General features: G+C 51.0%; 1 protein-coding gene across 10 annotated transcripts, besides 6 other annotated features; it reads left to right on the top strand.

Annotated features, from left to right (window-relative positions):
* Positions 3,970-4,235: a transcriptional cis regulatory region, noted in NCBI's record as "candidate enhancer chr15.3124 targeted for multiplex CRISPR interference". NCBI's record gives its function as "positively regulates MFGE8 gene expression in K562 cells {active_cell/tissue: K562}" and the evidence as "EXISTENCE:mutant phenotype evidence [ECO:0000015][PMID:30612741]".
* Positions 6,502-6,622: a transcriptional cis regulatory region, noted in NCBI's record as "candidate enhancer chr15.3123 targeted for multiplex CRISPR interference". NCBI's record gives its function as "positively regulates MFGE8 gene expression with high confidence in K562 cells {active_cell/tissue: K562}" and the evidence as "EXISTENCE:mutant phenotype evidence [ECO:0000015][PMID:30612741]".
* Positions 6,786-7,019: a transcriptional cis regulatory region, noted in NCBI's record as "candidate enhancer chr15.3122 targeted for multiplex CRISPR interference". NCBI's record gives its function as "positively regulates MFGE8 gene expression with high confidence in K562 cells {active_cell/tissue: K562}" and the evidence as "EXISTENCE:mutant phenotype evidence [ECO:0000015][PMID:30612741]".
* On the top strand, positions 11,466-26,162 carry MFGE8 (milk fat globule EGF and factor V/VIII domain containing). Of its 10 annotated transcripts, none has more exons than NM_001310320.2 (9): positions 11,466-11,598; positions 12,669-12,721; positions 14,922-15,053; positions 17,469-17,650; positions 18,067-18,219; positions 18,944-19,088; positions 23,110-23,294; positions 25,034-25,189; positions 25,313-26,162. In NM_001310320.2, the coding sequence occupies exons 2-9, from the start codon at positions 12,673-12,675 to the stop codon at positions 25,448-25,450; spliced, it is 1,140 nt and encodes a 379-aa protein (NP_001297249.1). In that variant the 5' UTR covers positions 11,466-11,598; positions 12,669-12,672; the 3' UTR covers positions 25,451-26,162. The 10 variants fall into 10 exon arrangements, 9 of the variants coding, with proteins under 9 accessions (NP_001297249.1, NP_005919.2, NP_001297248.1 ...); XM_047432533.1 differs by lacking the exon at positions 11,466-11,598 and adding an exon at positions 11,677-12,417; XR_931838.4 differs by lacking the exons at positions 12,669-12,721; positions 25,313-26,162 and adding an exon at positions 24,087-24,188.
* Positions 11,725-12,256: an enhancer, noted in NCBI's record as "H3K27ac-H3K4me1 hESC enhancer chr15:89455820-89456351 (GRCh37/hg19 assembly coordinates)". NCBI's record gives its function as "activates a minimal SCP1, AML or CMV promoter by ChIP-STARR-seq in naive H9 embryonic stem cells {active_cell/tissue: H9 hESC(naive)}" and the evidence as "EXISTENCE:reporter gene assay evidence [ECO:0000049][PMID:30033119]".
* Positions 16,964-17,949: an enhancer, noted in NCBI's record as "H3K4me1 hESC enhancer chr15:89450127-89451112 (GRCh37/hg19 assembly coordinates)". NCBI's record gives its function as "activates a minimal SCP1, AML or CMV promoter by ChIP-STARR-seq in primed H9 embryonic stem cells {active_cell/tissue: H9 hESC(primed)}" and the evidence as "EXISTENCE:reporter gene assay evidence [ECO:0000049][PMID:30033119]".
* Positions 19,811-20,000: a silencer, noted in NCBI's record as "silent region_6792". NCBI's record gives its function as "represses an Ori minimal core promoter by ATAC-STARR-seq in GM12878 lymphoblastoid cells {active_cell/tissue: GM12878}" and the evidence as "EXISTENCE:reporter gene assay evidence [ECO:0000049][PMID:35858748]".

Below are 27,122 nucleotides of genomic sequence, written 5' to 3'. Positions count from 1 at the left end.
AACAAAAAGGCATTAAAGTTTCCATTTTTGTGACAAAATATTTAAGCCCTTATTTTTCTAAGCCAATTCATCAGAGCTCTTTTACATATAAACCTCACAGACAACACATATAAATACAGACAGAAGATACGGCACTTGTAAGATTTTTCATTTGCCAGTTTCTTAATTGGATTACTGGCTTCAGGGTGGAGGCTGTGGAGGAACAGGGCCAGGAAAGCATGCGTTTCTAGGGCCAAACAAGCAGCAAATAAGTAGCTGAAGACAAAGACAGATCCCCAGAATTAAGGGTGCCATTTTATACTGGACCTTCGATCCCCAAAAGGAGGGAAATACTATGGGAGAAGACCATGCAGTGCTTCTTTTTTTGAGATGGAGTTTTGTTCTTGTCATCCAGGCTGGAGTGCGGTGGCAAGATCTCCACTCACTGCAACCTCCACCTCCTGAGTTCAAGCGATTCTCCTGCCTCAGCCTCCTGAGTAGCTGGGATTACAGGCGCCCGCCACCACGCCCGGCTAATTTTTGTATTTTTAGTAGAGACGGGGTTTCACCATGTTGTGAACTCCTGACCTCAGGTGACCCACCCACCTCGGCCTCCCAAAGTGCTGGGATTACAGTCATAAGCCAATGTGCCTGGCTGACAGTGCAGTGCTTCTACCCTGCATTTCATTACAAGGCAACCCAAAGCCAATGAGCCCATTTTGTCATCAGCACATCCCTCATGGGAGTCTCATCTCTCAGTCAGGGGTGGGGATGTTTTCTTATCTTCCAGGCGGCCAAGAGCACGCTTCTCTGATCCAAGTGTGCAGAGTCAAGTATTCCTCCGTAACTACTATTAGCCATCCTTACAGTATATTTCCTACTTAGTTATTACACACCAAAGCTCTCTCATAATGCGAAGTAATTTCTGATATCCCCCAAACTCAAAACTGTCAGATAACACAATGCAAAACAGAACAGAGCCTTTGATTTTGAGAGAGATCTATCTGCTTTTGCTTCCTGGGTTTCATGAGGAAAACAGAAGTTTTTTTTGTTTTTGTTTTGTTTTGTTTTGTTTTCCCAAAATGGGGTCTGTGGTGCCTCCTCTGTTTTTCCCCAATGAGTCCCAGACTAGCAGAAGTTATCTTAGGGCCTCTCATGTATGCATTAAGAGTGGCAAGACAAAAAAAAAATTGAGAAAAATAATTCAGTCGACTGAGAAGAAAAAATCTTTTTCCAGAAAAACAAGTTCCAAGAAGAGAAAAACATAAAGGCCTTTAAATATACTTAGAGCTTGTTTATCCACTTTTAATTAAGCTGACTTTTAGCCATAGCACTCTTACAAAAAAAATCCTTTAAAATTTTTTTATTACCTGACTTTAGCCATGCCAAGCGGCCGATATTTTTGGCTCTTGAAGTCTATCACAGGTAACTTCCCACATGAAATTAACCCGTTTTAACTAAGGTTACAACTTAACCATGACACATAGGTGTCTCAAAGGGATGGTAAGCAGTTTCTTTTCCTTTTCCTTCTTTTTTTTTTTGTTTTTACAAAATTTAGAATCTCCCCCAGGGTAGTTTAGAGAAAAAAAAATTCAAGACAGGGAATCAGAAGCTATCCATGGGGTGGAGGGAAACCTCAGTAAATGGCAAAGTAACATAAATAAAAAACCAGAAAAGAATCATTCTGGAAGGCAAGAATAGAACCCAGGCTGCCATTGTCAAAAAGCAAAGCCTTAGCTCCTGAGTTAGAGCAATGAGCAATTTCTATTGCTTTTCCCAAAAGGATCCTAGAGAAGTCAATTTCAAGCTTGCAAAGGCTTTTAACCGCTCAAGATAATTTTTAGGGCTAACTATGACATGAACCTCAAAATTCCTGTCCTCTCGATGGTGGGAGTGGGAGCCAAGAGAAAGTATACCTACATGGTCACAAGGTTAAATTAAGCTCTTAAGGACACAAGACAGACATTTCTTTCTTTCTTTCTTTCTTTTTTTTTTTTTGAGACAGAGTCTTGCACTGTCACCCAGGCTGGAGTGCAGTGGCCTGATCTCCGCTCACTGCAACCTCCACCTCCTGGGTTCAAGCGATTCTCCTGCCTCAGCCTCCCAAGTAGCTGGGATTATAGGTACCTGCCACCATGCCCGGCTAATTTTTTGTATTTTTAGTAGAGACAGGGTTTCGCTATGTTGGCTAGACTAGTCTTGAACTCCTGATCTTGCGATCCACCCGCCTTGGCCTCCCAAAGTGCTGGGATTACAGACATGAGCCACCGCACCCGGCCTATACAAGACAGAAATTTCATACAGTATTGGTTTCAGAGACCCGTCCGTAGCAAAGTTTGTAACTGACCTGCTTTTGTCTGGCTTGAAAAGCGGGCTGATAGACGTCCTAAACTCACATTCTATCCTGTGATGCCCCTCTCTCCGTTACAGAACACAGAAAGACAAATTCTTAGCACAAAGTACACCAGATTTGCTACTGCCTAAGACTAGTCTCACAAATCCTTTTTCTATTAATCAGACCCTTGCAGAGAGACAAATAGTGATGTTTACCATTTACCCAGACAGAGAAACAGAGAGAGACCAGAAACTTGGCTGGTAAGAATTTCTTACCCTGTTTTGCCAGCATACCAGGTTTCTGGACTCTCTTTCTCAACGGAGCGGCTTCTGATGATCCTGCTCACTGTGCCATAGCTGTGGGGTTCAAGAGAAAATCACCATTCACCGTTTTATGGAACCATAGGCAAGATTCTTAATTTGCAAGATGCTGCCCAACAGGCTGCACGGGGAATGGAATTAACATTTTCCATCCCAGCAAAACACACCTAATAAAATGAACAGTAGTCACCTCGTTCAGCACCCAATATCAACCTGGCAAAGCTCAAACTTTTTCCCCATTGATCCCTGTTGTCTTTGATCCATTCCAGGTGGGAAGGGATGACCTCTGAATGGTAATTCACAATGGGATCTCTGGGCAAGGCAAAGAGCAGATAGTCACCTCAAGAGACAGGTCTGTTGAGCCTTCTTTAGGGCTCATGGAATGTGACCAGACAAATAAGTGGGGTTCTCTGAGTTAGGCCCCTTCCATCATCAATTCCTTTTGAGATCCCTTCCACATTTACAAACATACACAAAGATGAGATGGACGGAAGGCCTTCCAAATCATATTGCTAACCGAGAACTCCAAGAGTATCCCTTCCAAACTATCCTCCTATTCTCCATCTGAGAAACCTCCTTGAAATCTTCCTGATTGAGAAGTCTCTCAAACCAGGACTCTTCCTACTAGTTAGAAAAAGCCAACTGAGACCACCCAGGAGCCGAACAGACACCCTGCAATGGGGCTACAGACACAGACACCCCATGGTGGAGCTACGGACAACCCCCATAGGGCTACAGAACCAGTCGGGAAAAGGAAGGAGGCATTGGTAGCGCCTAGGATACTCGCCAGTCCAGACACCCCACCATGGGGCTACAGAAAGACACCCTGTGATAGGGCTACAGTTAAAGGACATCTCCCCAGGACTATTTCTCCATTGCAACTAAACCCATGCACATTAGGTCGGCAGCACCCCGCCAGTAGAGAGAGTACCAGAGAATGAGTAATTCATGCAGAGCTGGCTGTGCAGGAGAGCGGAGTTTTAGTATGACTCAAATCAGTCTCCCTGAGCATTCAGGGAGCAGAGGTGTTTTTTTTTTTTTTTTTTTTTTGAGACGGAGCCTTGCTCTGTCACCAGGCTGGAGTGCTGTGGTGCGATCTTGGCTCACTGAAACCTCTGACTCCCTGGTTCAAGCTATTCTCCTGCTTCAGCCTCCCGTGTAGCTGGGATTACAGGCACATGCCACAGTGCCCAGCTAATTTTTTTTTTTTTTTTTTTTGTATTTTTAGTAGAGACAGGGTTTCACTACGCTGGCGAGGATGGTCTCGATCTCCTGACCTCGTGATCTGCCTGCCTCGGCCTCCCAAAGTGCTGGGATTACAGGTGTGAGCCACCATGCCTGGATCAGGGGGCAGAGTTTTTAAGGATAACTTGGTGGGTGGGGGGAAGCCAGTGAGCCAGGAGTGCTGATTGGCCAGGGATGAAATCATAGGGAGTTGCAGCTGCTTCTTGTGCTGAGTCAGTTCCTGGGTGGGGGCCACAGGATCGGATGAGCGAGTTTATTGACCTGGGTGGTGCCAGCTGATCACATCCAGTGCAGGATCTGCAAAGTATCTCAAGCACTGATCTTGGGAGCAGTTTAGGGAGGGTCAGAATCTTGTAGCCTCCAACTGCATGACTCCTAAACCATAATTTCTAATATTGTGGCTAATCTTAGTCCTAAAAAGGCGATCTAGTCCCCAGACAAGAATGAGGTCTGCTTTGGGAAAGTGCTGTTACTGTCTTTGTTTAAACTATAAACTACGTTTCTCCCAAAGTTAGTTCCGCCTACGCACAGGGATGAACAAGGACAGCTTGGAGGTTAGAAGAAGCAAGATGGAGTCAGTTAAGTTAGATCTCTTTCACTGTCTGAGTCATAATTTTGCAAAGGCGGTTTCACCTGGTCGAGTTTTGTAGCTTTTGTTACAGACTGTGATCCAGAAACACTGAACCAACTTATAGTTCCGTCAATTAGGCATAAATGTATTTATTTTCCCCATAGCCCCATTCATTGACTAAGTTTTATCAGTTTAATTGATTTTTGTTAAGTCTCTGGAAAACAGAATATGTTCTGTGCGTGTGTGTGTTGGGGGCGGTAGCGGGGACTAGCTAAAGAGTGAAGGTATCTCTGGTTTCCCTGCTTTTTTCTTTTCTTTTCTTTTTTGAGACAGGGTCTCACTCTGTCACCTAAACTGGAGTGCAGTGGTGTAATCTTGGCTCACTGTAACCTCCGCCTCCCCGGCTCAAGCAGTCCTCCCACCTCAATCTCTCCAGTAGCTGGGACCACAGGCGCAAACCACTGCACTTGCCTGATTTTTGGTAGAGATGCGGTTTCACCATGTTGCTTGCCCAGGCTGGTCTCAAACTCTTGGGCTGAAGGAATCCCCCTGCTTCAGCCTCCCAAAGTGCTGCGATTATAAGTGTGAGCCACTGCGCCCAGCCTTCCCTGCCATTTATATAACAAAAACCTGAAAGTTTTCAATGGCCTGCCTGTTTAATATGATCACAGTACGATACTATTGTTAGAAAATCTAACCAAATTCTGGCCAGGTGTGGTGGCTCATGCCTGTAATCCCAGCACTTTGGGAGGCCGAGGTGGGTGGATCACTTGAGGTCAGGAGTTCGAGACCAGCCATGACCAAAATGGCAAAACCCCGTGTCTATTAAAAATACAAAAATTAGCTGGGCGTAGTGGCACAGGTCTATATTCCCAGCTACTTGGGAGGCTGAGGCAGCAGAATCACTTGAACCCAGGAGGTGGAGGTTACAGTGAGCTGAGAGCCACTGCACTCCAGCCTGGGTGACAGAGTGAGACTCTGTCTCAAAAAAAAAAAAAAAAAGAAAGAAAAGAAAAGAAAATCTAACCAAATCCTATAATGCTATGATGCTCTCGTACTGGATAAGAAAAATGTTCAAGCCAAGGAGATGCCATCCCACTGAACTCTATAAAGATAAAATCATAGAGGAAAATCCCCTTCCTCTCCATGCCTCCCCTCCCCTGTTAAACCCCCTTGTAAACTCCTGGTCCCCAAACCTAGGTCTTTCGTTTCTTCTCACAGTGGGTTTATCCAGTAGTTCTCATCCTAGTTGTACATTAGCCTCATCTGAGGAACTTAAAAAACACTGATGCCCAGGCCCCACCTCAGTGATTCTGATTTGATTCCTCTGGGTGGAGCCTGGTCATCTGTGTTTGAAGAATCTTCCCAAGTGAGGCTAGTCTGCAGCTGAGGTTTCCAGTCATAAAGCTAACCACAGTCAGTGCTCAATGCATGTTTCTTGAATGACTCAATGATTAAATGTGTCTTAATTGGGTAACTGTGCAGTTGTTTCACGTGGGTGGCAGAAAGCCAGTGAGGGCGATTAGGAAGTTCCGTTCTGCAAGAGTAAGTGGCATTAACTGGTAAGGGTGCTATGCTCGCAGCATTCTCTACCTGCCATCTGAGATGGATTTCTGAAGTGTTGTATTTATTTTTTATTGAAATAAAATTCACATAACCAAAAATACACTCTTAAGATGTACAGTTCAGAGGCTGGGCACAGTGGCTTATGCCTGTAATCCCAGCACTTTGGGAGGCGGAGGCCAGCGGATCACGTGAGGTTGGGAGTTCGAGACCAGCCTGGTCAACATGAGGAAACCCCGTCTCTACTAAAAATACAAAAATTAGCTGGGTGTGGAGGCACACGTCTGTAACCCCAGCTACTTGGGAGGCTGAGGCACAAGAATTGCTTGAACCTGGGAGGCAGAGGTTGCAGTGAGCCAAGATTGAGCCACTGCACTCCAGCCTGGGTGACAGAGCGAGACTCCATCTCAAAAAAAAAAAAGTACAGTTCAGTGGTTTCTAGTATGCTCACAAGGTCATACAACCATTATCACTAAGTTCAAAACATCTTCATCATCCCCCAAAAGGAACTCTGTATCTACGAACAGTATTCCTCATTCTCCCCTCACCCCAGCCCCTGGCAACTGCTTATCTAACATTGGTCTCTATAGATTTGCCTTTTCTGGACATTTCATAGAAAAGGAGTAATACACAACATGGTCTTTGTGACTGGCTTCTTTCACTTAGCATAATTTTTTGTTTGTTTGTTTTTTGAGATGGTGTTTTACCTTCCCAAAGTGCTGGGATTACAGGCGTGAGCCATCGCACCTGGCTTTACCAGTGTTTTTATTTGTTTACTATGTATGTATCATTAATTTAACCCCAGAGGGTGACTGGTGAGCCTTCTTGGCTCAACCCTGAAGACCATGAGGGAGCCTGTGGTTTGGGGATGGGTCATATGTCCCTGAGCAGGGCAGCTTCCTTCTCTGGGAGAAGGCTTGGTCACAGGGAGGCGACTGAAAGTAACACTGCTGATGGATCTCTTTCTACATAAAAGGTGCTGGGCTAGGGTGACAAGAATACATATGACATTATTCCATATACCAGGACTTACAATCGAGTGACAGGTATTGCGACCATCATTCCAATATGAGGCAAAGTTTGATAAGAACTATAGGAGAGACTGCAAATTTAAGAGAGACAGGTTGGGAACAGTAAATTCTAATTAGAAGACTTGATTATTATAGCTTTGTAGTAAGTTTTGGAATTGAGAAATGTTAGTCTTTCAATGTTGTTCTTTTTTTTTCCTCAAGATTGTTTTGGCTATTCTGGGTCCCTTGCATTTCCGTGTGATTTTTTTTTTTTTTTTTTTGAGACAGAGTCTCGCTCTGTCACCCAGGCTGGAGTGCAGTGGTGTGATCTCGGTTCATTGAAAGCTCTGCCTCCCAGGTTCACACCATTCTCCTGCCTCAGCCTCCCGAGTAGCTGGGACTACAGGCGGCCACCACCACACCCGGCTAATTTTTTGTATTTTTAGTAGAGACGGGGTTTCACTGTGTTAGCCAGGATGGACTCGATCTCCTGACCTTGTGATCCTCCCGCATTGGCCTCCCAAAGTGCTGGGATTACAAGCATGAGCCACTGCGCCAGGCCTCCGTATGAATTTTAGTATCAACTTGTCAATTTCCGCAAAAAGGGCAGATGGAATTTTGACAGAGATTGTATTGAGTCTGTACATCAATTTGGGGGTGTACTGGCATCTTAACAATACAAGTCTTCCAACCTATCAACAGGGGATAATTTTCCATTTGTTTAGATCTTCTTTAATTTTTTTGATGATGTTTTGTAGTGTTCAACGTACTTGTATTTCTTTTTCTTTTTTTTTTTTGAGACGAAGTCTCTCTCTGTCACCCAGGCTGGAGTGCAGTGGCACGATCTCAGCTCACTGCAACCTCTGCCTCTCAGGTTCAAGCGATTCTCCTGCCTTAGCCTCCCGAGTAGCTGGGATTACAGGTGCCAGCCACCACACCTGGCTACTTTTTGTATTTTTAGTAGGGACAGGGTTTCGCCATGTTGGTCAGGCTGGTCTTGAACTCCTGACCTCAGGTGATCCACCCACCTTGGCCTCCCAAAGTGCTGGGATAACAGGCATGAACCACCGTGCCCCGCCATGTCTTGTATTTCTTTTGTTAAATTTATTCCTAAGTATTTTATTCTTTTTAATCCTATTGTAAATGGGATTTTTAAAAATTATGTTTTTGGATTGTTTATTTCTAGTGTAAGAAATACAACTGATTTTTGTATATTAATTGTGTATCCTGCAACCTTGCTTAGCTCATTTATTATCTTTAATAGTTGTGTGTTTGTGTGTGTGTGTGTGTGTGTATGTGGATTCTTTAGGGTTGTTTTTTTTTTTTTTTTTTTGAGATGGAGTTTCGCTTTTGTTGCCCAGGCTGGAGTGCAATGGCGCGATCTTGGCTCACCGCAACCTCCGCCTCCCAGGTTCAAGCAATTCTCCTGCCTCAGCCTCCCGAGTAGCTGAGATTACAGGCATGCACCACCACGCTCAGCTAATTTTGTATTTTTAGTAGAGACGGGGTTTCTCCATGTTGAGGCTGGTCTTGAACTCCTGATCTCAGGTGATCTGCTCACCTCAGCCTCCCAAAGTGCTGGGATTACAGGCATGAGCCACTGCGCCTGGCTCTTTAGGGTTTTTGATATACAAGATCATGCCATCTGTAAGTAGAGATAGAGATAGTTTTACTGCCTCCTTTCCAATGGGGATGTATTTTCTGTTTCTTGCGTAATTGTCCTGGCTGGAACCTCCAGCACAGTGATGAAATAGAAGTGATGAGAGCAGAACACCATGTCCTATTCCTGAGCTTAGGGGAAACATTCAGTTTTTCACCATTAAGTATGATAGTAGCTATGGGTTTTTCATATATATACATATATATATATATATGTATATATATATACACATATATATACATATATATATGTATATATATATACACATATATATACATATATATATACACATATATATACACATATATATACACATATATATATACATATATATATACACATATATATATATATACATATATATATATATATACACACTTTTTTTTTTTTTTTTGAGACAGAGTCTTACTGTGTCACCCGGGCTAGAGAGCAGGGGTGCAATCTCGGCTCACTGCAACTGCCGCCTCCCAGATTCAAGCGATTCTTGTGCCTCAGCCTCTTGAGTAGCTGGGATTGCAGGTGTGCACCACCATGCCTGGTTACTTTTTGTATTTTTAGTAGGGACCAGGTTACACCATGTTGGTCAGGCTGGTCTCGAACTGCTGACCTCAGCTGATCTGCCCGCCTAAGCCTCCCAGAGTGTTGGGATTGCAGGCGTGAGCCACTGTACCCATCGGTTTTTCATAGATTTTTAAAAATCAGGTTGAGGAAGCTCCCTTTCACTTCTAGTTTGTTGAGTGTTTTATCACGAAGACGTGTTGGATATTATCAAATGCTTTTTCTGTGATTATTGAGTTGATCCTATATGTCTTTTCCCCATATATATATATATGTTTTTTTTTTTTTTAAGACGGAGTCTTGCTCTGTTGTCCAGGCTGGAGTGCAGTAGCGCGATCTCGGCTCACTGCGAGCTCCGCCTCCCGGGCTCACGCCATTCTCCTGCCTCAGCCTCCTGAGCAGCTGGGACTACAGGCACCCACCATCACGCTCGGCTAATTTTTTTTTTGTATTTTTAGTAGAGACGAGGTTTCACTGTGTTAGCCAGGATGGTCTCGATCTCCTGACCTCGTGATCCGCCTGCCTCGGCCTCCTAAAATGTTGGGATTACAGGCATGAGCCACCACGCCCAGTACCCGCTTCTGAATATTTTAAGAAGGGCATCTTGCCAGTGGACTCTAGTCCCAACTTAGGTCTCAACACAGCTAGGAGGGGAGATGTGTGACTGTTCTATTTTGTTTGTTGGCTAGTCTGACTTAAATACTTATTAGTATTAGTATTGTTATTATTTTTTGAGACAGTCTCGCTCTGTTGCCCAGGCTGGAGTGCAGTGGTGCAATCGTGGCTCACTGCAGCCTCGACCTCTTGGGATCAAGCGATCTTCCCACCTCAGCCTCCTGAGTAGCTGGGACTACAGGCATGCGCCTGGAATATTTTTGTATTTCTTTTTTTGTAGAAACAGGGTTTTGCCATGTTGCCCAGGAAGGTCTCGAACTCTTGAGCTTAAGTGATATGCCTACCTCGGCCTCCCCAAGAGCTGGCATTACAGGCTTGAGTCACCACTCCCAGCCTGAAGCATTATTATTATTATTATTATTATTATTATTATTATTATTATTAGAGACAGAGTCTCACTGTGTCACCCAGGCTGGAGTGCAGTGGCATGATCTCGGCTCACTGGGACCTCTGCCGCCTGGGTTCAAGCGATTCTCCTGCCTCAGCCTCCCGAGTAGCTGGGATTACAGGCACCTGCCACTGCGCCCGGCTAATTTTTGTATTTTTAGTAGAGACGGGGTTTCACCATCTTGGCCAGGCTGGTCTTGAACTCCGACCTCAGGTGTTCCACGTGCCTCGGCCTCCCAAAGTGCTGGGATTACAGGTGTGAGCCACCGCACCCAGCCAAAACACTATTATTAAAATCACTTATTTGTAAACAGGTAATATTTGCACATGATAAGTACAAATCATTTAGTAAAAAGTCAACGGTGACAGGCTTGCTTTGTTTTATTCCCTTTCGGCAAACAGGTGCCCATTTCCTCGCATTTTGTCTATGGTGCCTTTCTTGCAACAAAGGCAGAGATGAATAGCTGCTACAGAGACTCAGGGCCTACATATCAGAGAACATTTTCTATTAGGCCCTTTACAGAAACCTTCGCTGATTTTTTTTTTTTAGTATTTTACCATTTCAGACAATGTTGCTATGCTATCTTTGTATATCTGTCATTTTGCACATGGGAGTTTCTGTAGAATGAATCTCTCTATGTGGAAATGCTAGGTCTTAAGGTGTCAGCATTTGTCGTTTTGATAGGTGTTACCAAATAGCCCTCTAGGGAAGTTGAACTAATTTATACTGTCTTCAGCGAAGCATGCTTGGACCTGTTCCCCACAGCCTCCACTAACCTTGTTAACATCTTGATACTTGCCGATCCGAGAAGGGAAACACGATGCTCATTGTAGTTTTAATTTGCATCTATCTGATTATGAATAAAGAGTTAGCATCTTTTCAAGTCTAAAAATCTTAAAAACAAAACTCCTGAACTTTTCCCGCCCAACAGACTCAAGACTCGTGACCCGGCCGTTGGCACGACGCGGGACGCCGGTGTGGCAGTGGCGGAAGAGGCAGATATCGCGGACCACCCCCGCGCCCCCCAATTCCTTTCAACCAATTCCCTCCCAGCCGCGGAGCCCCGCCCCCAGTCCGCCTCTGGCCAGCTTGGGCGGAGCGCACGGCCAGTGGGAGGTGCTGAGCCGCCTGATTTATTCCGGTCCCAGAGGAGAAGGCGCCAGAACCCCGCGGGGTCTGAGCAGCCCAGCGTGCCCATTCCAGCGCCCGCGTCCCCGCAGCATGCCGCGCCCCCGCCTGCTGGCCGCGCTGTGCGGCGCGCTGCTCTGCGCCCCCAGCCTCCTCGTCGCCCTGGGTGAGTGGATCGCGCCGCCCTCTGCCCCTCGCCCCTCCTCCCCGCGCCGCTCGGAAGTTTGCCCGGCGCCCGCCCTCCACCTCCACTGTTGACAAACTTAGACAAAGCCCCGGGGACCGGGCTGGGCAGAGGGGCGGCTTCTTCCGCTGCGCCCTGGCGGGACAGGGGGATGCGGCCCTGCTGTCTCTGCGCTGGGGCTTTTGGGCTGGGACTCGGGACATCGGGTGACAGCCCTGCCGCCCCCAGGGATGCGGCTTACAGATAATGACAAAGGAATCCGCTGTGTCGGGCCTCTCTTTTCCCTGGTGAAAAATGAGGCCAGGGAACTGCGTTTGACTTTCGAACCCCTTCCACCTGGGAGATTCTAGGACTCTAGTATGGATAAGTCTTGTCTGGATAACTTTGTCCTGGCCATCTCCCTGCCAACTCCAGTTGGCTGGACAGTTCATTGGATTTTTGCGCTCCCAATTGTCCGTGCCTGGTCACATAAGGGAAGGGCCGGGGAGTCGGTGCAATGGACGCAGGCCGTAAGTGGGGCCCGGGAGGGGACCCAGAGGCTTCGAGGAGCTTGGAAGAGGGCTGCCTGCTGATGGGAGTCTCCTGACTCCCTCCCTCCCGCGGCCTTGGCCGGCTGCTGTATCTTCCCCGGTCCTCCTCCGCCTCCCAGGAGGCCTCCGGAGGCCAGCTGGGCCCCTTGCAGGCTGGACTTGCGGATGCCCCGTGCCATTCACCGTGGAGCGCTGGGAGGGAGTCAGGGCCAGGACTCTTTAGGTGGCCCCTCCATCATTTTCTCATAGAAATGGGATTGACTGAAGCAAGGTAGGTAACAGCTGAGCCCCAGCCCTATGTCCTGTGATCTGCCTGACCCTCGGGGCTAGAGCTTCCAGAGTGCTCCAAGCTCCCAGGAACTTGGGAGCTCCTGGCCCTCCCCGGCCACCATGAAAGACAGCTGGATCTTCTTAGCCCCTTTCTACTCTTCCCTGTACCCCCCAACCTGAACTCTGGCCAAATGTTACTGGAAAGTCCCCGAAAGAGCAGGACTCTGAAGTCCCAAAGATGTTTTTATACAGGGTGATGTGGCCTTTTCCAGAAGGAGGAAACACCATACCTATCTTACACACAGGTAACGTGGCTGGGTAGAGTACACCTTTCCCTTTCCCTTTTTCCCACTGGACCGTTTTGCCCTGGAGCAGTGTAGGGAGAGGGCCGGTGCAGTTGGGAGGGAAGAGTCCATTCCCAACCCAAGCCTCTGTCTGTGTCAATGCTCGCCCCCGCCTGCCAGGTCAGAGGAAGGATTACCTGCTATTTAAAGCCAATGACTAATAGCTCCTTGGGAGCCACTTTAAGCTCCTGAGGCCCCTGGAGGGGGAGCTCTGAGGGCAGATCGCTCATTAATGGTGTTGTTGCCTTCCCTGGAGTGGGATGAAGGGGCTTTGAGATTTCAGGAGGACTCTCCAGCCTTAGATGGGTGACTCTGAGGGGGAGGCAAAAAGGTTTTTTTTTTTTTCTTTTTTCTTTTTGAGATGGAATCTTGCTGTGTCGCCCAGGCTGGAGTGCAGTGGCGCGGTCTTGGCTCACTACAAGCTTCGCCCGCTGGGTTCATGCCATTCTCTTTCCTCAGCCTCCCAAGTAGCTGGGACTACAGGCACCTGCCACCACGCCCGGCCCGGCTAATTTTTTGTATTTTTAGTAGAGACGGGGTTTCACCGTGTTAGCCAGGATGATCTGGATCTCCTGACCTCATGATCCTCCCACCTCGGCCTCCCAAAGTGCTGGGATTACAGGTGTGAGCCACCATGCCCGGCCAAGGCAAAAAGATGTCTCATGTCTTGCTCCAAATGACAGATTTGGGTGTAGGGTCTGGGGCAGCCCTTCTGGGATGCTAATGTCGGCTAGAGGACTCCTGTTGGGCCCGGCCGACCCACCAGAGTCAAGGGATTGAGGACAGGCCCTCCTGTTCCTTCTCCTGTGTTCTCCACCACCGGGGCTGATAGTGTACATCTGTCATCCAGGTTCCCATCCAGAAGCCCTGGTGGCCTCTCCAGCCCTTGCCCCCTGGTGGTTCTGAAATCACCCTTCCTTTTCACTCCTCTGCCCTGACTTCCTCTCTCACCATGCTCTCCTGCTCTCCACCTTCACCCTCTTCAGTGGGATTTCTGCATTTCAGCCAGAGGGACCTGTCTGCAGCTACCAGATGCTCCCCACCCTGGGAGAGCTCAGCGGCATGTCTGCACATGGGCCTTTTCAGCCTTCTTCATCCCGCAATTGGAACTGACTTTCCCACTCCCATCTCACACTTGAGAATCTCTGTTTCTTGTTTCTTGTTTTTTATTTTATTTTTATTTTTTCTCCCCCCTGGTGGACAATGGTGAGGAGGGTGAAGGAAGGTTAAAAGCCACTGCTCTACGGGATGAAAAACTAAACTTGTCATTCTTCAGATCCCTCCCAGTCTGGCCCCAGCCTACCCTTCCAGCTGCATCTAACTGTGCTCCAACATACCACACCCTCTGTGCATCTGCTTTTCTTGGAACATTCTTTACTCATTGCCCAGTCTGGCACCCCCCTTACTTTGTCTTCTAGACCCAGCTCAAATATTCCCTCCTCTGGGGAACTTCTAATTCCCCAGCAGAAATCATGCCTCCAGTGACGGTCCATGCAGGCTTCTGGAGCGTTGGGCAATCTTCCTCATCTGTGGACTTGCTGGCCTCTTTCCCCTTGGCTTCTTGAGGCCTGCGCTGCATCTGATTTCTCTGTCTCGGGGGCCTAGCATGGTCATTGGCCCTCCCAGTGTTTCCTGGATGATCATCGTGCTGTTCCTGAGTCAGGGCTGCCATTGGAGGTGACATCTGTGACTGCAACCTGTGCCTGAATTGGTGGGCGGAACCTGCTCAATGGGCCAGAACAATGCTTCCTTCCACTGCCCCTGCCTGAAAGTCCTCATGGGCCTCCTTTGCAATCAAACTGCTGCCAAGAGACCTGCCCTGGACCTTGCCTGCCTCTCCAGACCCCAGCTGCCAGCTCTTCCACCAGTGGGCAGTGGTCCCCAGCACCACTGCCATTGTCAGCCAGCACTTTTCTGGACACTCCCAGGCCACTTGGAAAGCTGGGCGCTTCCCTTATGTGGGCCGATTCGCCTACACATGGACTTCCTTGGCTCTAGGCGGACTCAGGCTCCATCCAGCACACGGGGGAAGAGGGAGAGGAAGAGATAATGGGCGAGTTTGAGTGGAGGGTCCTTTTGGGCTGGACCCATCTGCTACTTCTCACCTGTGTCCCCAGCTCCTTCCTGATCATCTGCTCATCTTACCTGTCTCTGTCCCCAGATATCTGTTCCAAAAACCCCTGCCACAACGGTGGTTTATGCGAGGAGATTTCCCAAGAAGTGCGAGGAGATGTCTTCCCCTCGTACACCTGCACGTGCCTTAAGGGCTACGCGGGCAACCACTGTGAGACGAGTGAGTATGTGGGGGTGCTTGTTGCCTGTTTCTAGCAGTAGACCCTGAGCCACAGCCCTGGTGGCATAGGCCATATGCTGGCCTTATTCTCTGCCTGTGATCCCCACCCCAGTGGAGGTGTCAAGGCCTCCTCTGGGGAGACTCAGAGAGAGAGACAGAGCCTCAGTTAGACCGAGGGGGGAAAAGGGTCCTGTTGTTTCTTCCTTCTTTCTGCCTGGCCCTCTTTCCTGAGACTGCCGGCCAGGCCTGATGCTGATGCAGAGGAGTGAGGGGTTGTGGTCACCCTGGAGGTCACGGGAGTGCTGTTTCTTGAGTCACCATGAGCCAGACACACAGCATTAGGGTTAAGTTGCAAGGATTTTTCTACCTAAGAGGGGAAAACAAACACATTCTTGGTCTTTTGAGGCCCAGGAACTCAGTAAATCAGCCTTGGTTTCAGAGTCTGACAGTTCCTGGCCCAAGTTTGACCTGCAGCCTCATCGCAGAGCTCGGGGAGAAGGGAGAGGCCTGGGCCAGCTGAACCATCCCCACGCGGTCAGGTGGTCAGAGGCCTTGCATGCCCAGAGGGGCTGTCCGCGTGTGACCTGCCTGGTTATCCACTCGGCCACAGAATGGCCCTAGGTGGGGTGGCAACAGCAGTTCCCCTGCTGTCCTCCCTCCAGGCCCAGCTGGAGTCCCTCCCACTTAGTGCTCCCACCCCACTAGGACTCCTCATGGGGCAGGCGGGTTGCCCACATGTGGGCCCAGGGATGGGTGGAGCGGGGGGTCCTAGGTTTCTGAATCCAGCAGGTCAATCGCTGAGCATCTTGGGTAGGGGACAGGGGACATCTTGCCCTCCTCAGGGAGATGTGGGGATGGGTTCTGAGGTTTGCTGGCCTCCAGAAGGAGGGGGCGGGGGGCTTGAGCCAGCTGGGTGGCAGCAGGGGCCCTGGGAGAGAGCAGGTCAAGTGAGTAGGATGCCTTTTACCTCCCAAGTGGCCCTGGGGCCTGTGCCTTGGACCCTGCCCTGAGGCCAGATGTGTTTGAGATCCTGGTGGAAGGGTGTGTGTATGGTTTGGCGGACGGGTTGCTAAGGCAATCAGAGCCCTGGGTAGGGCCAGGTGGAGCCACTAACAAGTATCCTGGGAGCTGAGGTAACAGTGAGTGTGCCTGAGTGGGAATTACCCACCTTGACTTCTAGCTTCTGGGCCTGGGATCTTCCCCAGGCTGGATATGGCTGCACCCAGGAAGAAGGCAGGGGTGACCACACAGCGGAGGAAGCCCTCAGAGGGACCTTCGCAGCTCTTCCTTGCCTTTTACGTGGTATGTTTCCTTGGAGCCAACAAGGACCCTGCGGGCCCAAAGAATGCACACTGGACTCCTTCAGGGTGTGAGCGTGGTGGGGTATGGGGATAGTCTTGGAGGCAGACTGGGGTCAAATCTCAGCTCAGCCACTGGCCGAGCTCTGGTCTTGAGGCTCTGGCCTCACTTTGCGCGTTCCCCTCCCTGCCAGAGTGCGCTAACACTGAGCTCGTCCGCGCCTGTGATGTTGGAGGAAGACTAGATCTGTCTGTGGGTTCTCTGCTTGGCAGCTGGAAGGCCCAGGCACACGCTGGGGGGATCCCCAGGTGATGAGAGAAGCTTGGCCTGTAGGTGGGCCTGGTAGCTGTCCTGGGTTCCTGGGACCACACTGCTGGAGTGATGGTGAGGGGGGTGGGGCCTTGGCCACGGGCATGTTCACAGATGGCTGGGTGAGGGCCCACAGGTGGAAGGCGTAAAGAGGGAAAGCAGAATGGCATTTGTGCCCCACCCAGAGAACTCCTGCCAGTGGGATTCTAGAAAACTCCAGGCAGATTAGCTTCTTTCTTTGTGTACAGTGCTGGTACTGTTCACTGCTATCCGAGGTAGCCCTTCTCCCAAAGCCACCCTCCTGAGGAAGCCAGGGGCTGGGCTGAGGATGGCGTCCCTTCCTGGTGGGGGGAGGGGACACTGAGGAAGAGGGGGTCACACCGGTATTCTGTGCCACCAGTCTAACCCCTGCACCAGACTGATTGCTGCCAGATGCCCTATATGAACGAGGCCACCTCCCACAGCCTGGCGGGGGGGACTCTACTTTCCATGAGTGCCAATCATGGCTGTCCCCACAGTGCTACCCTGGCTGGGATCCTCTGGCAGCCCTGGGTCCCAGCCTCCCGTGACTCTGCCCACCCCCCTCATCCTCACCACCCCTGGCCACATACCTTTTCTTGGCACCTCGTCCTGGGCACTGCCTTCATTGTCCCTTTGTGGTCTTTGTTCTGAGAGAGGCTCTGAGGTTCTCCCTGGCCCTGGGGCTTAGGCAGAGGTCATACAGTCTTATTTTCTTGTCCGCTGGGTCCCAGCTGGGCCCGGGAACCTGCTGGGGTAGCCACCTGACTGCCACCTCCCTTCCCTCAGAATGTGTCGAGCCACTGGGCCTGGAGAATGGGAACATTGCCAACTCACAGATCGCCGCCTCGTCTGTGCGTGTGACCTTCTTGGGTTTGCAGCATTGGGTCCCGGAGCTGGCCCGCCTGAACCGCGCAGGCATGGTCAATGCCTGGACACCCAGCAGCAATGACGATAACCCCTGGATCCAGGTATGCCTGGGGATGGCCCTGGGGCGGGGCAATGGAGAGAAGGCTCGATGAATGTTTCTGCATTTGGGGGTTACCCCAGGAGGGTTCATCACTGGGGTTCAGGTGGCAAGGTAACAGGTTCCCATGGATGAAGTATCTGTAAGTGGATGGCATCCCTGGAGGAACCTGGTATGGGGTCAAGGTGAGGGGGGAGGAGGCCCCAGGCTGTGGAGGAGCTGTTGGTGCTGGATGAGGCCTCTGGAGGCCTGGGCAGAAGAAGAAAGCCCTTTGTGCGGGCAGTGTGCTCAGCTACCCCTCCTCTGTTTTGCTTGAGTTGTTCCCCCACCCAGTGGGGGAGTGAAGGGATGGGTCTGCTTGGATCTTGAGTGGAAAGAACCCAGGAGATAAGGGTGCCATCTCCCCTGCCCTGTGTCCAGGTGAACCTGCTGCGGAGGATGTGGGTAACAGGTGTGGTGACGCAGGGTGCCAGCCGCTTGGCCAGTCATGAGTACCTGAAGGCCTTCAAGGTGGCCTACAGCCTTAATGGACACGAATTCGATTTCATCCATGATGTTAATAAAAAACACAAGGTAGGTCTTGTTGGGGCCCGAAAGAAGGGCTGTGGTCCATACCCCCTAAGGTTCTAGCATTGACTGAGGACCCCCAGCGAGTCCAGAGAACCCTAGGTGATTGGCTATGATGTGGGTCTTCGGGTGCATCTTGGCTTCTAGAAATTGGGAAACCCAGACTGTGTCCATGTTCTGTGGTTTATAAGCAATAGTCCCACTTTAGAGATGAGACTAGTGAGATTCAAAATGGCACAGTGACCTGTTGAGGGTGATAGTGGTGGTGGAGCTGGGTTTCATTCTGAGCCTTCATGGGTACATGTACAGTTGTGTAGGTTGTACACTGCTCAAGGATGTCATTGCTAAGCAGGCACCATTCACAGTACAGGCATTGTACATTTGTGGAACTCTGTCAGAAAATTGTCATAATAAACTATTTGAGAAAGGAGTGCCTTTTCCTAATTTGCAAAGAGGTACCCTGTAGGTTACAGGTGGCCCTGTGTCAGCTATAGGGGTTTATGCCCAGGCTCCATGATGATTAAGGAAAGTGAGAGGAGAATCTTTGTGGAGGGCCGTGGGGTGGCCAAAGGAGAGGCTGCTGTGTGAGCCTCTGCTGGCTCTTCCAAGTCCTCTTCACCCTCCCAGCCCCACCTCTGCCTCCCAGGTCTGAAGAGGAAGATGAGGTAACCCCAGGGAGGGGGACTGCTCAGATGGACCCCCTTCTCCAGTCTTGTCCCTTCCCTGCTAGGAGTTTGTGGGTAACTGGAACAAAAACGCGGTGCATGTCAACCTGTTTGAGACCCCTGTGGAGGCTCAGTACGTGAGATTGTACCCCACGAGCTGCCACACGGCCTGCACTCTGCGCTTTGAGCTACTGGGCTGTGAGCTGAACGGTGAGTGCTGGGGGTGCGGGTAGGGGGGCACTGTTGGCCAATCCTAGGAGGTGGCCCTCCCTGCTGCCTCTTTTCTCAGCCAAACTGAGCTAGGTAGGGCAGCAACAAGGCACGGGGACCAGGCTTCACTCGGGCAACGCACTCTAGGGGGTCACCTGGCCATAGCAGCCCCACCCAGGTGTTTGCTGTCTGCCAACCCATGACCCAGGGCATTCTGATTGATAGAGAAAAAGACATCAGTTTTCAAAGTATTTTCCCTTCTTCTGGTTGGCTCCTCTCCTGTAGCTTCTAGAACATGTAGCGTTAGGTGTGTTTGGCAGATGTCAGCTTTACGAGGGCAGAGAATCTGTCTGTTTTGTTTGCTTCGGTATTCCCAGGGCCTAGAATGGTGTCTGGTTTATAGGTACTCAATAAATATTTGATGAATGAGCGAATGAATGAATGAGGGGCGTGGGGCCCCGATGAATGATTTATTAAGGGTACACATCTGGTAGGTATTAAGACTTGGTCTAGATCTCTGGGCTCCCGACCACACCCATCCAGAGCTTTCCCTGCCAAACTCTTAAGAGTCTGCACTCCAGAGAAACACAGGGGCTTCTTGGACCACAGGGCTTGGAGCTGGTGCTTCCTGCTGCCTTTTCCAAAGAGATTCCCAGATGAAGAGCTGGGGAGACCATAAAGGGACAGATTTCTGCAGAGCCAGGGGACAGCCTGGGCGAGGTCAGAGTGCCGGGTTTGGGCTGACAGACATTAATTGTCTCAGCCCAGCTCAACCCAGCTTTCCTGAGGTCTGGGTATTTCTCTCTCTTTGCAGCCACAATGCCACCTGCTGGCCATCAGTGGAACTGTAGGGCTCGCTAAGCAGAGCTGCAGAGTGGAGGTTCTTATCTTACCCGCTGGCCTTTTGATCTTACCTGCCCTCCTGTGCCCCGCCTTTCCCCTCTGTGACACCTCTTCCTGTTGTCTCATTTCAGACACCACCCAAATACCCCTCAGAGCTGAGTTCAGTGCCTGGCTGGGTTCAGTGTTTTTAGTATGAACTTGAGTAGGTATGCTTCCTCCACCAGGGGCCCTTTTGAGCCGTATTGTTTCAGTGGGGAGTATAAGACTTTGCCTTCTGCTAGAAGGAAATGTAGGCTACTGGGAAAGGACAGAGCCAGGTCTGTGTGCCTCTCCCTGGAGTCCCTGACACTTGCTGTTTTGGCTTGAAGCCTTTGGCCATTAAAGTTGCCTGTATCCAGGCATGACTGGCCCCTGCTCAGGGCCAAGAGAGGGTGAGTCTTGCAAACCAAGGAAGCCCAGGTACCCTGTCTGCTTCCTTCAGGGTCTGGACCACTCCTTTCCCTATAGGCCTTCCAGTCGGCTGGAGAGTGTTGGTGCATGTGTGCATGTGTGCACGTGTGCATGTGTGTGGGTGGGGCTGAGGTCTGGGGGTACCTGGGATTCCACAAGGGATTCCTCTTTGCAGACATATGGTGTCTTTGGTAAATTAATTATTTAATTCGATGGATGTTTATTAAGATATTGATTAAGCCCCTCCTGGGTGCTTGGCTCTAGGGAATGATTCCTTGACCTCATGTAATTTGCATTGTAGCAAGGAAGGCAGACTTGAGGCGAGGAGCAGATGACAGAGAGCAGTAACAGCTCTGAAGAAAAGCTAGAGGCTGATGAGATGACCATGACTTGGGGTGAGGGGAGAGAGCAAGACAAGGACTGCTCTGTCGGGAAGGCCTTTGACTGGGGGCCTGAATGATGGAGAGCCAGCCACATGAAAAACTTAAAAACAGCACTGCAAAAAGAGCACTGCAGGCAAGGAATTGGTAAATGCAAAGGCCCTGGGGCATGTTGAAGGGTGGAAGGAAGGCCAGTGGAGCTGGAGCCAAGAGATGGAGGGGCAGCTTGGTGGGTGAAGAGCCCCAGGGACCCGCAGTGTCATCACCTAGGAGCTTCTTAGAAATGCAGACTGAGGCCGGGTGCGGTGGCTCACGCCTGTAATCCCAGCACTTTGGGAGGCCGAGGCGAGCGGATCACCTGAGGTCAGGAGATCAAGACCAGCTTGGCCAACATGGCGAAGCCCCGTCTCTACTAAAAAAATACAAAAATTAGCCAGGCGTGGTGGCAGGTGCCTGTAATCCCAGCTACTAGGGAGGCTGAGGCAGGATAATTGCCTGAACCCGGTCAGAAGGTGGAGGTTGCAGTGAGCCGAGATCATGCCACTGCACTCCAGCCTGGGTGACAGAGCGAGACTGTGTCTCAAACAAACAAACAAAAAAACAAAAAAAAAGAAATACAGACTGAAAGCCCCAGCCTAGACTTGCTGAAACATAAGCTTTTTTTTTTTATATCAAGATCCCCAGGTGATCTGTGAGAATTACTCCCCTAGTATCTCATTTTATAGATGGGGAGACTGAGAGCCAGAGAGAGGAAGGGACTTCCTAGAGTGCTGGAGCTGACAGTCCTGTCCCTGCCCTGGTGCCCCTTCCAACTGCATTTTACCAGAAAGGCTGTCTGACTTCCTGGGGAGGCTGAGAGTGAGGAGGGTATGAACCACTAGAAGCAGATGATCTGTAGAGGGGTCTGCGTTGAGCACATTGTGCAGAATTGGTGTCCTCTGCAAAGCTGCCCAGGTTTTAGCCTGCCTCAGGCCTCTCCTCTTCTGGGGCCAAGGGACAACCAGCTCTCAGCCCGGGAGCCTCTCTTTGAGGGGGAAGGTGGTGGTTCCCTGGTGCATCACCATCAGGAGATGATGGTACCATCAGCAGGCATTGTCAACACACCCTGGAGGCAAATGTCTTGAGTGGTGAGAGTACAGGTGGGCAGTGATATAACTTAGCTGGCTCCCAGTACTCTTGAGTGGTGAGAGTATTGGAGGGCAGTGATATAACTTAGCTGGCTCCCAGAGGGCAGGGGGCTCTCCAGTCCCACCGTCCACTCCTGCCTCCCTCAATTCCCCAGAGGGATAGACACTTGTGGAGTGAGGATTCTTCCAGGTGGGAGACACCCCCATCATTCTCTTGGGAGTTGTATCTCTTGCCCATCCCCAACTGTTCTATCCATATGCAGGTGCAGATACAAGTGCAAGGCAGCCCGGCACATTCCTGAGTGTTTGGGGCAGGGCTGAGTGAAACAAAGGCCAGCTTCCCGGGCCAGCCCTCACAGGCCTGTGTGACAGCATCCCCAGAACATTTGAGTGTGCGAAGGCCCTCTGGGAGACACTAAGTCAGGGGGCTTCTGGGGAATGGAAATAGAGATGTTCCTGTGCCCCAGGAGTTGTCTGATTTCTCTAACTGCCAGCTGCTGGAGGGCAGGGATGTTGTCCTGTTCATCACTGGGTCGTCACTAGGCAGGCCTTCATCATCTAGCTGGGATGTGTAGCTGGTAGAGGTGACGTCATAGTGTGACATTAGGAGTTTGTATGTGACTTGAGCATGATGCTTAATGTCTTTCAGTTTTCTCATCTATAGAATGGGCTTACTAATTTCTACTTCATTTAGTGTTTTTTTTTCTTTTTTTTTTTGGTGGCAGGTTAAATGACTGAAGTAAGCACTGAATAAACAATGTGGTTGTTATTAAAGTAGATAGTGACTGTGCCATGGGACGGATGGGAGGCCGAGGCGATGGGGGCAGTGCTGTGAGTCCAGAAGAGGAAGAAATCCTGCCCAAGTGAAGTAGTCAGGGCAGACTTCTTGGAGGAGGTGTCTCCAAAGTCAGGCATTGAAGGAGGGCAGGAGGTGGTGGAGCAGGGGCCTTCCCTGGTGCAGAGGAGAAGGGTGGTGAGTGGGAGGTCTTGGGTGATCTGTGAGGAGCTGAGCCCGGCTGGTTGAGGTGAGGAGGTGGTGGGGTCGGCAGTGAGAAGGTCGCACAGTTGGCCCTGCAAGGCGGATGGAGCTGCTTTCTGTTGCCCAAGAGCATGACAGGGGCTGGTCAGGATCCACAGAGTTCTTTCTGCTTCATCGCCTTGTGCTCCTGCCCCTGGGAGCTGTGGATCCCAGATCCAGATGACAGCCCACCTTGCTGGCAGGATGCGCCAATCCCCTGGGCCTGAAGAATAACAGCATCCCTGACAAGCAGATCACGGCCTCCAGCAGCTACAAGACCTGGGGCTTGCATCTCTTCAGCTGGAACCCCTCCTATGCACGGCTGGACAAGCAGGGCAACTTCAACGCCTGGGTTGCGGGGAGCTACGGTAACGATCAGTGGCTGCAGGTGGGTCAGCCTTCTTGGGATATGGGGCTGGGGTTGGGTGGGATGAGGTGGGACTGCCAGATCTTTGACCTCTCTCCAGCCCAGGCTTCTCTTCTGCTCCCCAAAAGAGTTCTGGAAAAGCCTTGTTTTTCTTCGGCTTTTCTTTCTTCTTCCCACCTGTACTCCCTTCTCTTGATCCTGCTTCCACCAAGGTGGAGAAAGGGTGTGTGTGTGTATGTGTGTGTGTGTGTGAATGTGTGTGTGTGAGTGTGTGAATGTGTGTGAATGTGAGTGTGTGTGAATGCGTGCGTGTGAATGCGTGCGTGTGAATGTGTGTGTGAATGTGTATGTGTGAATGTGTGTGTGTGAATGTGTGAATGTGTGTGTGAATGTGTGAGAATGTGTGTGAATGTGTGTGTGAGAATGTGTGTGTGAATGTGTGTGTGTGAATGTGTATGTGTGAATGTGTATTTGTGAATGTGTGTGAATGTGTATGTGAATGTGTATGTGAATGTGTATGTGTGAATGTGTGTGAATATGTGTGTGTGAGAATGTGTGTGTGTGTGTGAATGTGTGTGTGTGAATGTGTGTGTGTGAATGTGTGTGTATGTGTGTACACAAGGGGAGAGCCATTCCATGGGCTGCCACAGGATTGACAAGGCTCAGCCTATGGACAGACAGCAGGGCGGAGGCGGAAGAGGGAGACATGACCCAGGCATCTTGGGACCTCTCCCTTGAGCACAGCATACATATTCTCTGACTCAGTGTCTAAGAAGCCACCATGTGACAGCCCTTGTCTGTCATTGAAACTAGGAAACAAAAGAGAGCCATGGAAAACCGGAGCTTGTTTTATAGATGAGGAAGCCGAGAGCTGGCAGGACGATGATCTGCCTAGTACCCACCTGCTGGCTGGCAGTGAGTTGGGTTTACACCTGGATGTTGGGGAACTGTGTGTCCAGGTGCAGCTGGCAGGTTCTCCAGGGAGGTCAGGGACCGGGGACAGGAGGTCTGTCTCAGGGCCCCATGGAGCACACTGCGGAGCTGGGTTCCCTGAGGAGCTGCCTGCCTGTGGACACCCTCAGGACCAGTGTCAGACTGTGGGCGGCGCCGCAGGGAGCCTCTAGAGCAGTTCATGCCCCTCCAGGCTGTGGCCTCTCCTGTCCTTCTTCCCATCACAGTGCAGTGCAGGTCTCAGGCAGGGGTGGTTGGCGTGGAGTTGGCCAGGGCCCAGACCCTATGAGCTTTATAGCAGTGAGGTACCGAACACCATGTGTGGCAAAGTAGGTGGTATTATTTATGCCCCCTCACCGCTTTTTTTTTTTTTTTTTCTGAGACAGAGCCTTGCTCTGTCACCCAGGCTGGAGTGCAGTGGCGCCATCTCGGCTCACCGCAACCTCCGCCTCCCAGGTTCAAGCGGTTCTTCTGACTCAGCCTCCCTAGTAGCTGGGATTACAGGCAGCCACCATCATGCCCAGCTAATTTTTTGTATTTTTAGTAGAGACGGGGTTTCACCATGTTGGTCAGGCTGGTCTCGAACTCCTGACCTCAGGTGATCCACCTGCCTCAAGTCTCTCCCAAAGTGTTGGGATTATAGGCATGAGACACCATGTCCGGCCTTATGCCCATTTTATAGCCAAAGAAACTGAGGCTCACCCAAGTAGTTTTTTTCAAAACTAGAATTCATGCCTCAGTGTGTCTGCCTCTTTTCACCTTACTGGAGATGGTCCAAGCAGAGAAAATGTGGTTGGTTTCTTCTGTAGGTGGACCTGGGCTCCTCGAAGGAGGTGACAGGCATCATCACCCAGGGGGCCCGTAACTTTGGCTCTGTCCAGTTTGTGGCATCCTACAAGGTTGCCTACAGTAATGACAGTGCGAACTGGACTGAGTACCAGGACCCCAGGACTGGCAGCAGTAAGGTGGGTGTCTGTCCAGCTGCCCACCCTTTGCCATTCCTTCATTACTTCCCTGGGAGTCTGGCCTGGGGCTCTGAGGGGAGGGGGGCTGGCTCGGGGTCCTCCTGACACCCGCTCTGCCTCTAGATCTTCCCTGGCAACTGGGACAACCACTCCCACAAGAAGAACTTGTTTGAGACGCCCATCCTGGCTCGCTATGTGCGCATCCTGCCTGTAGCCTGGCACAACCGCATCGCCCTGCGCCTGGAGCTGCTGGGCTGTTAGTGGCCACCTGCCACCCCCAGGTCTTCCTGCTTTCCATGGGCCCGCTGCCTCTTGGCTTCTCAGCCCCTTTAAATCACCATAGGGCTGGGGACTGGGGAAGGGGAGGGTGTTCAGAGGCAGCACCACCACACAGTCACCCCTCCCTCCCTCTTTCCCACCCTCCACCTCTCACGGGCCCTGCCCCAGCCCCTAAGCCCCGTCCCCTAACCCCCAGTCCTCACTGTCCTGTTTTCTTAGGCACTGAGGGATCTGAGTAGGTCTGGGATGGACAGGAAAGGGCAAAGTAGGGCGTGTGGTTTCCCTGCCCCTGTCCGGACCGCCGATCCCAGGTGCGTGTGTCTCTGTCTCTCCTAGCCCCTCTCTCACACATCACATTCCCATGGTGGCCTCAAGAAAGGCCCGGAAGCGCCAGGCTGGAGATAACAGCCTCTTGCCCGTCGGCCCTGCGTCGGCCCTGGGGTACCATGTGGCCACAACTGCTGTGGCCCCCTGTCCCCAAGACACTTCCCCTTGTCTCCCTGGTTGCCTCTCTTGCCCCTTGTCCTGAAGCCCAGCGACACAGAAGGGGGTGGGGCGGGTCTATGGGGAGAAAGGGAGCGAGGTCAGAGGAGGGCATGGGTTGGCAGGGTGGGCGTTTGGGGCCCTCTATGCTGGCTTTTCACCCCAGAGGACACAGGCAGCTTCCAAAATATATTTATCTTCTTCACGGGAACTCTTGGTGTGGTTCGTTATTGTTTCATGGGAATGGGATTTAAATTGCGCTGGTTTCCCCATCCCCCACCTGTGGTCCTCCCTGAGCCCCAGCTTGCTTGCTTGCTTTTTTTTTTTTTTTTTTGAGATGGAGTCTTGCTCTGTCGCCAGGCTGGAGTGCAGTGGTGTGATCTCGGCTCATTGCAATCTCTGCCTCCTGGGTTCAAGCATTTCTCCTACCTCAGCCTCCCAAGTAGCTGGGACTATAGGTGCACACCACCATGCCCAGCTAAGTTTTATATTTTTAGTAGAGACAGGGTTTCACCGTGTTGGCCAGGATTGTCTCAATCTCTTGACCTTGTGATCCACCTGCCTCGGCCTCCCAAAGTGCTGGGATTACAGGCGTGAGCCACCGTGCCCAGCCCCATCTTTCTTTATGTCACCTGCCTGACTACACATAGCTTCATAGCAGGAGGCTGGAGACTTTGGTCCAGGGCGGCCTGAAGGAAGTCAGGACTTCCAGGTCCTCAAAACCTGACTTCCCCTCTTCCCTCTGCTTTCTACCTCCATGCCGTCTGGCCCTGAGCCCTACAACTGCTGCCTGGTCAGGGGCCCAGCGAGTGCTGGCAGACACTGTCTCCTGAATGCTTTTGCTCCCTTCCTGCCAGGAAGACTGGCTGGGGCAGCTGGTTTTCCCCTTCAGCAGTTTCCATTCTCTCTGCAACTGGAGTGGTGGGCTGGAGAAACTATAAGAAACTCAGTGAACCTGGATGCCTTCCGAACTGCGGGAGTTCCTGGGGTGGGTGCAGCGTGGGACTGGAGGAGGGGGCCGGGGCTCTGCCAAGTGGGCATGAGGCCTCCTGCCTGAACACACTGGTTCCTGGTAGGCCACTGGCGTGTGTGCTCCAGGGATACCCTCTCTGCCCTCCCCTGTGTGGGGGTCATCAAGAAGTGGGGGTGGGCCTTGCGGGCCAGTGTCTTG

The sequence above is a fragment of the Homo sapiens genome, chromosome 15 (genome assembly GCF_000001405.40).
Source record: "Homo sapiens chromosome 15, GRCh38.p14 Primary Assembly".
Classification (NCBI taxonomy): domain Eukaryota; kingdom Metazoa; phylum Chordata; class Mammalia; order Primates; family Hominidae; genus Homo; species Homo sapiens.
Note: the sequence above shows the minus strand (reverse complement) of the source record. Positions and strands in the feature narration are given on the sequence as shown.

Excerpts from the sequence above, each read along its gene's own strand:
- MFGE8 (NM_005928.4), top strand. The coding sequence starts at position 11,526 with ATGCCGCGCCCCCGCCTGCTGGCCGCGCTGTGCGGCGCGCTGCTCTGC. Across the intron at positions 18,220-18,943 it reads ATGTTAATAAAAAACACAAG|GAGTTTGTGGGTAACTGGAA; the intron begins GTAGGTCTTGTT and ends CTTCCCTGCTAG. Across the intron at positions 19,089-23,109 it reads ACTGGGCTGTGAGCTGAACG|GATGCGCCAATCCCCTGGGC; the intron begins GTGAGTGCTGGG and ends CCTTGCTGGCAG.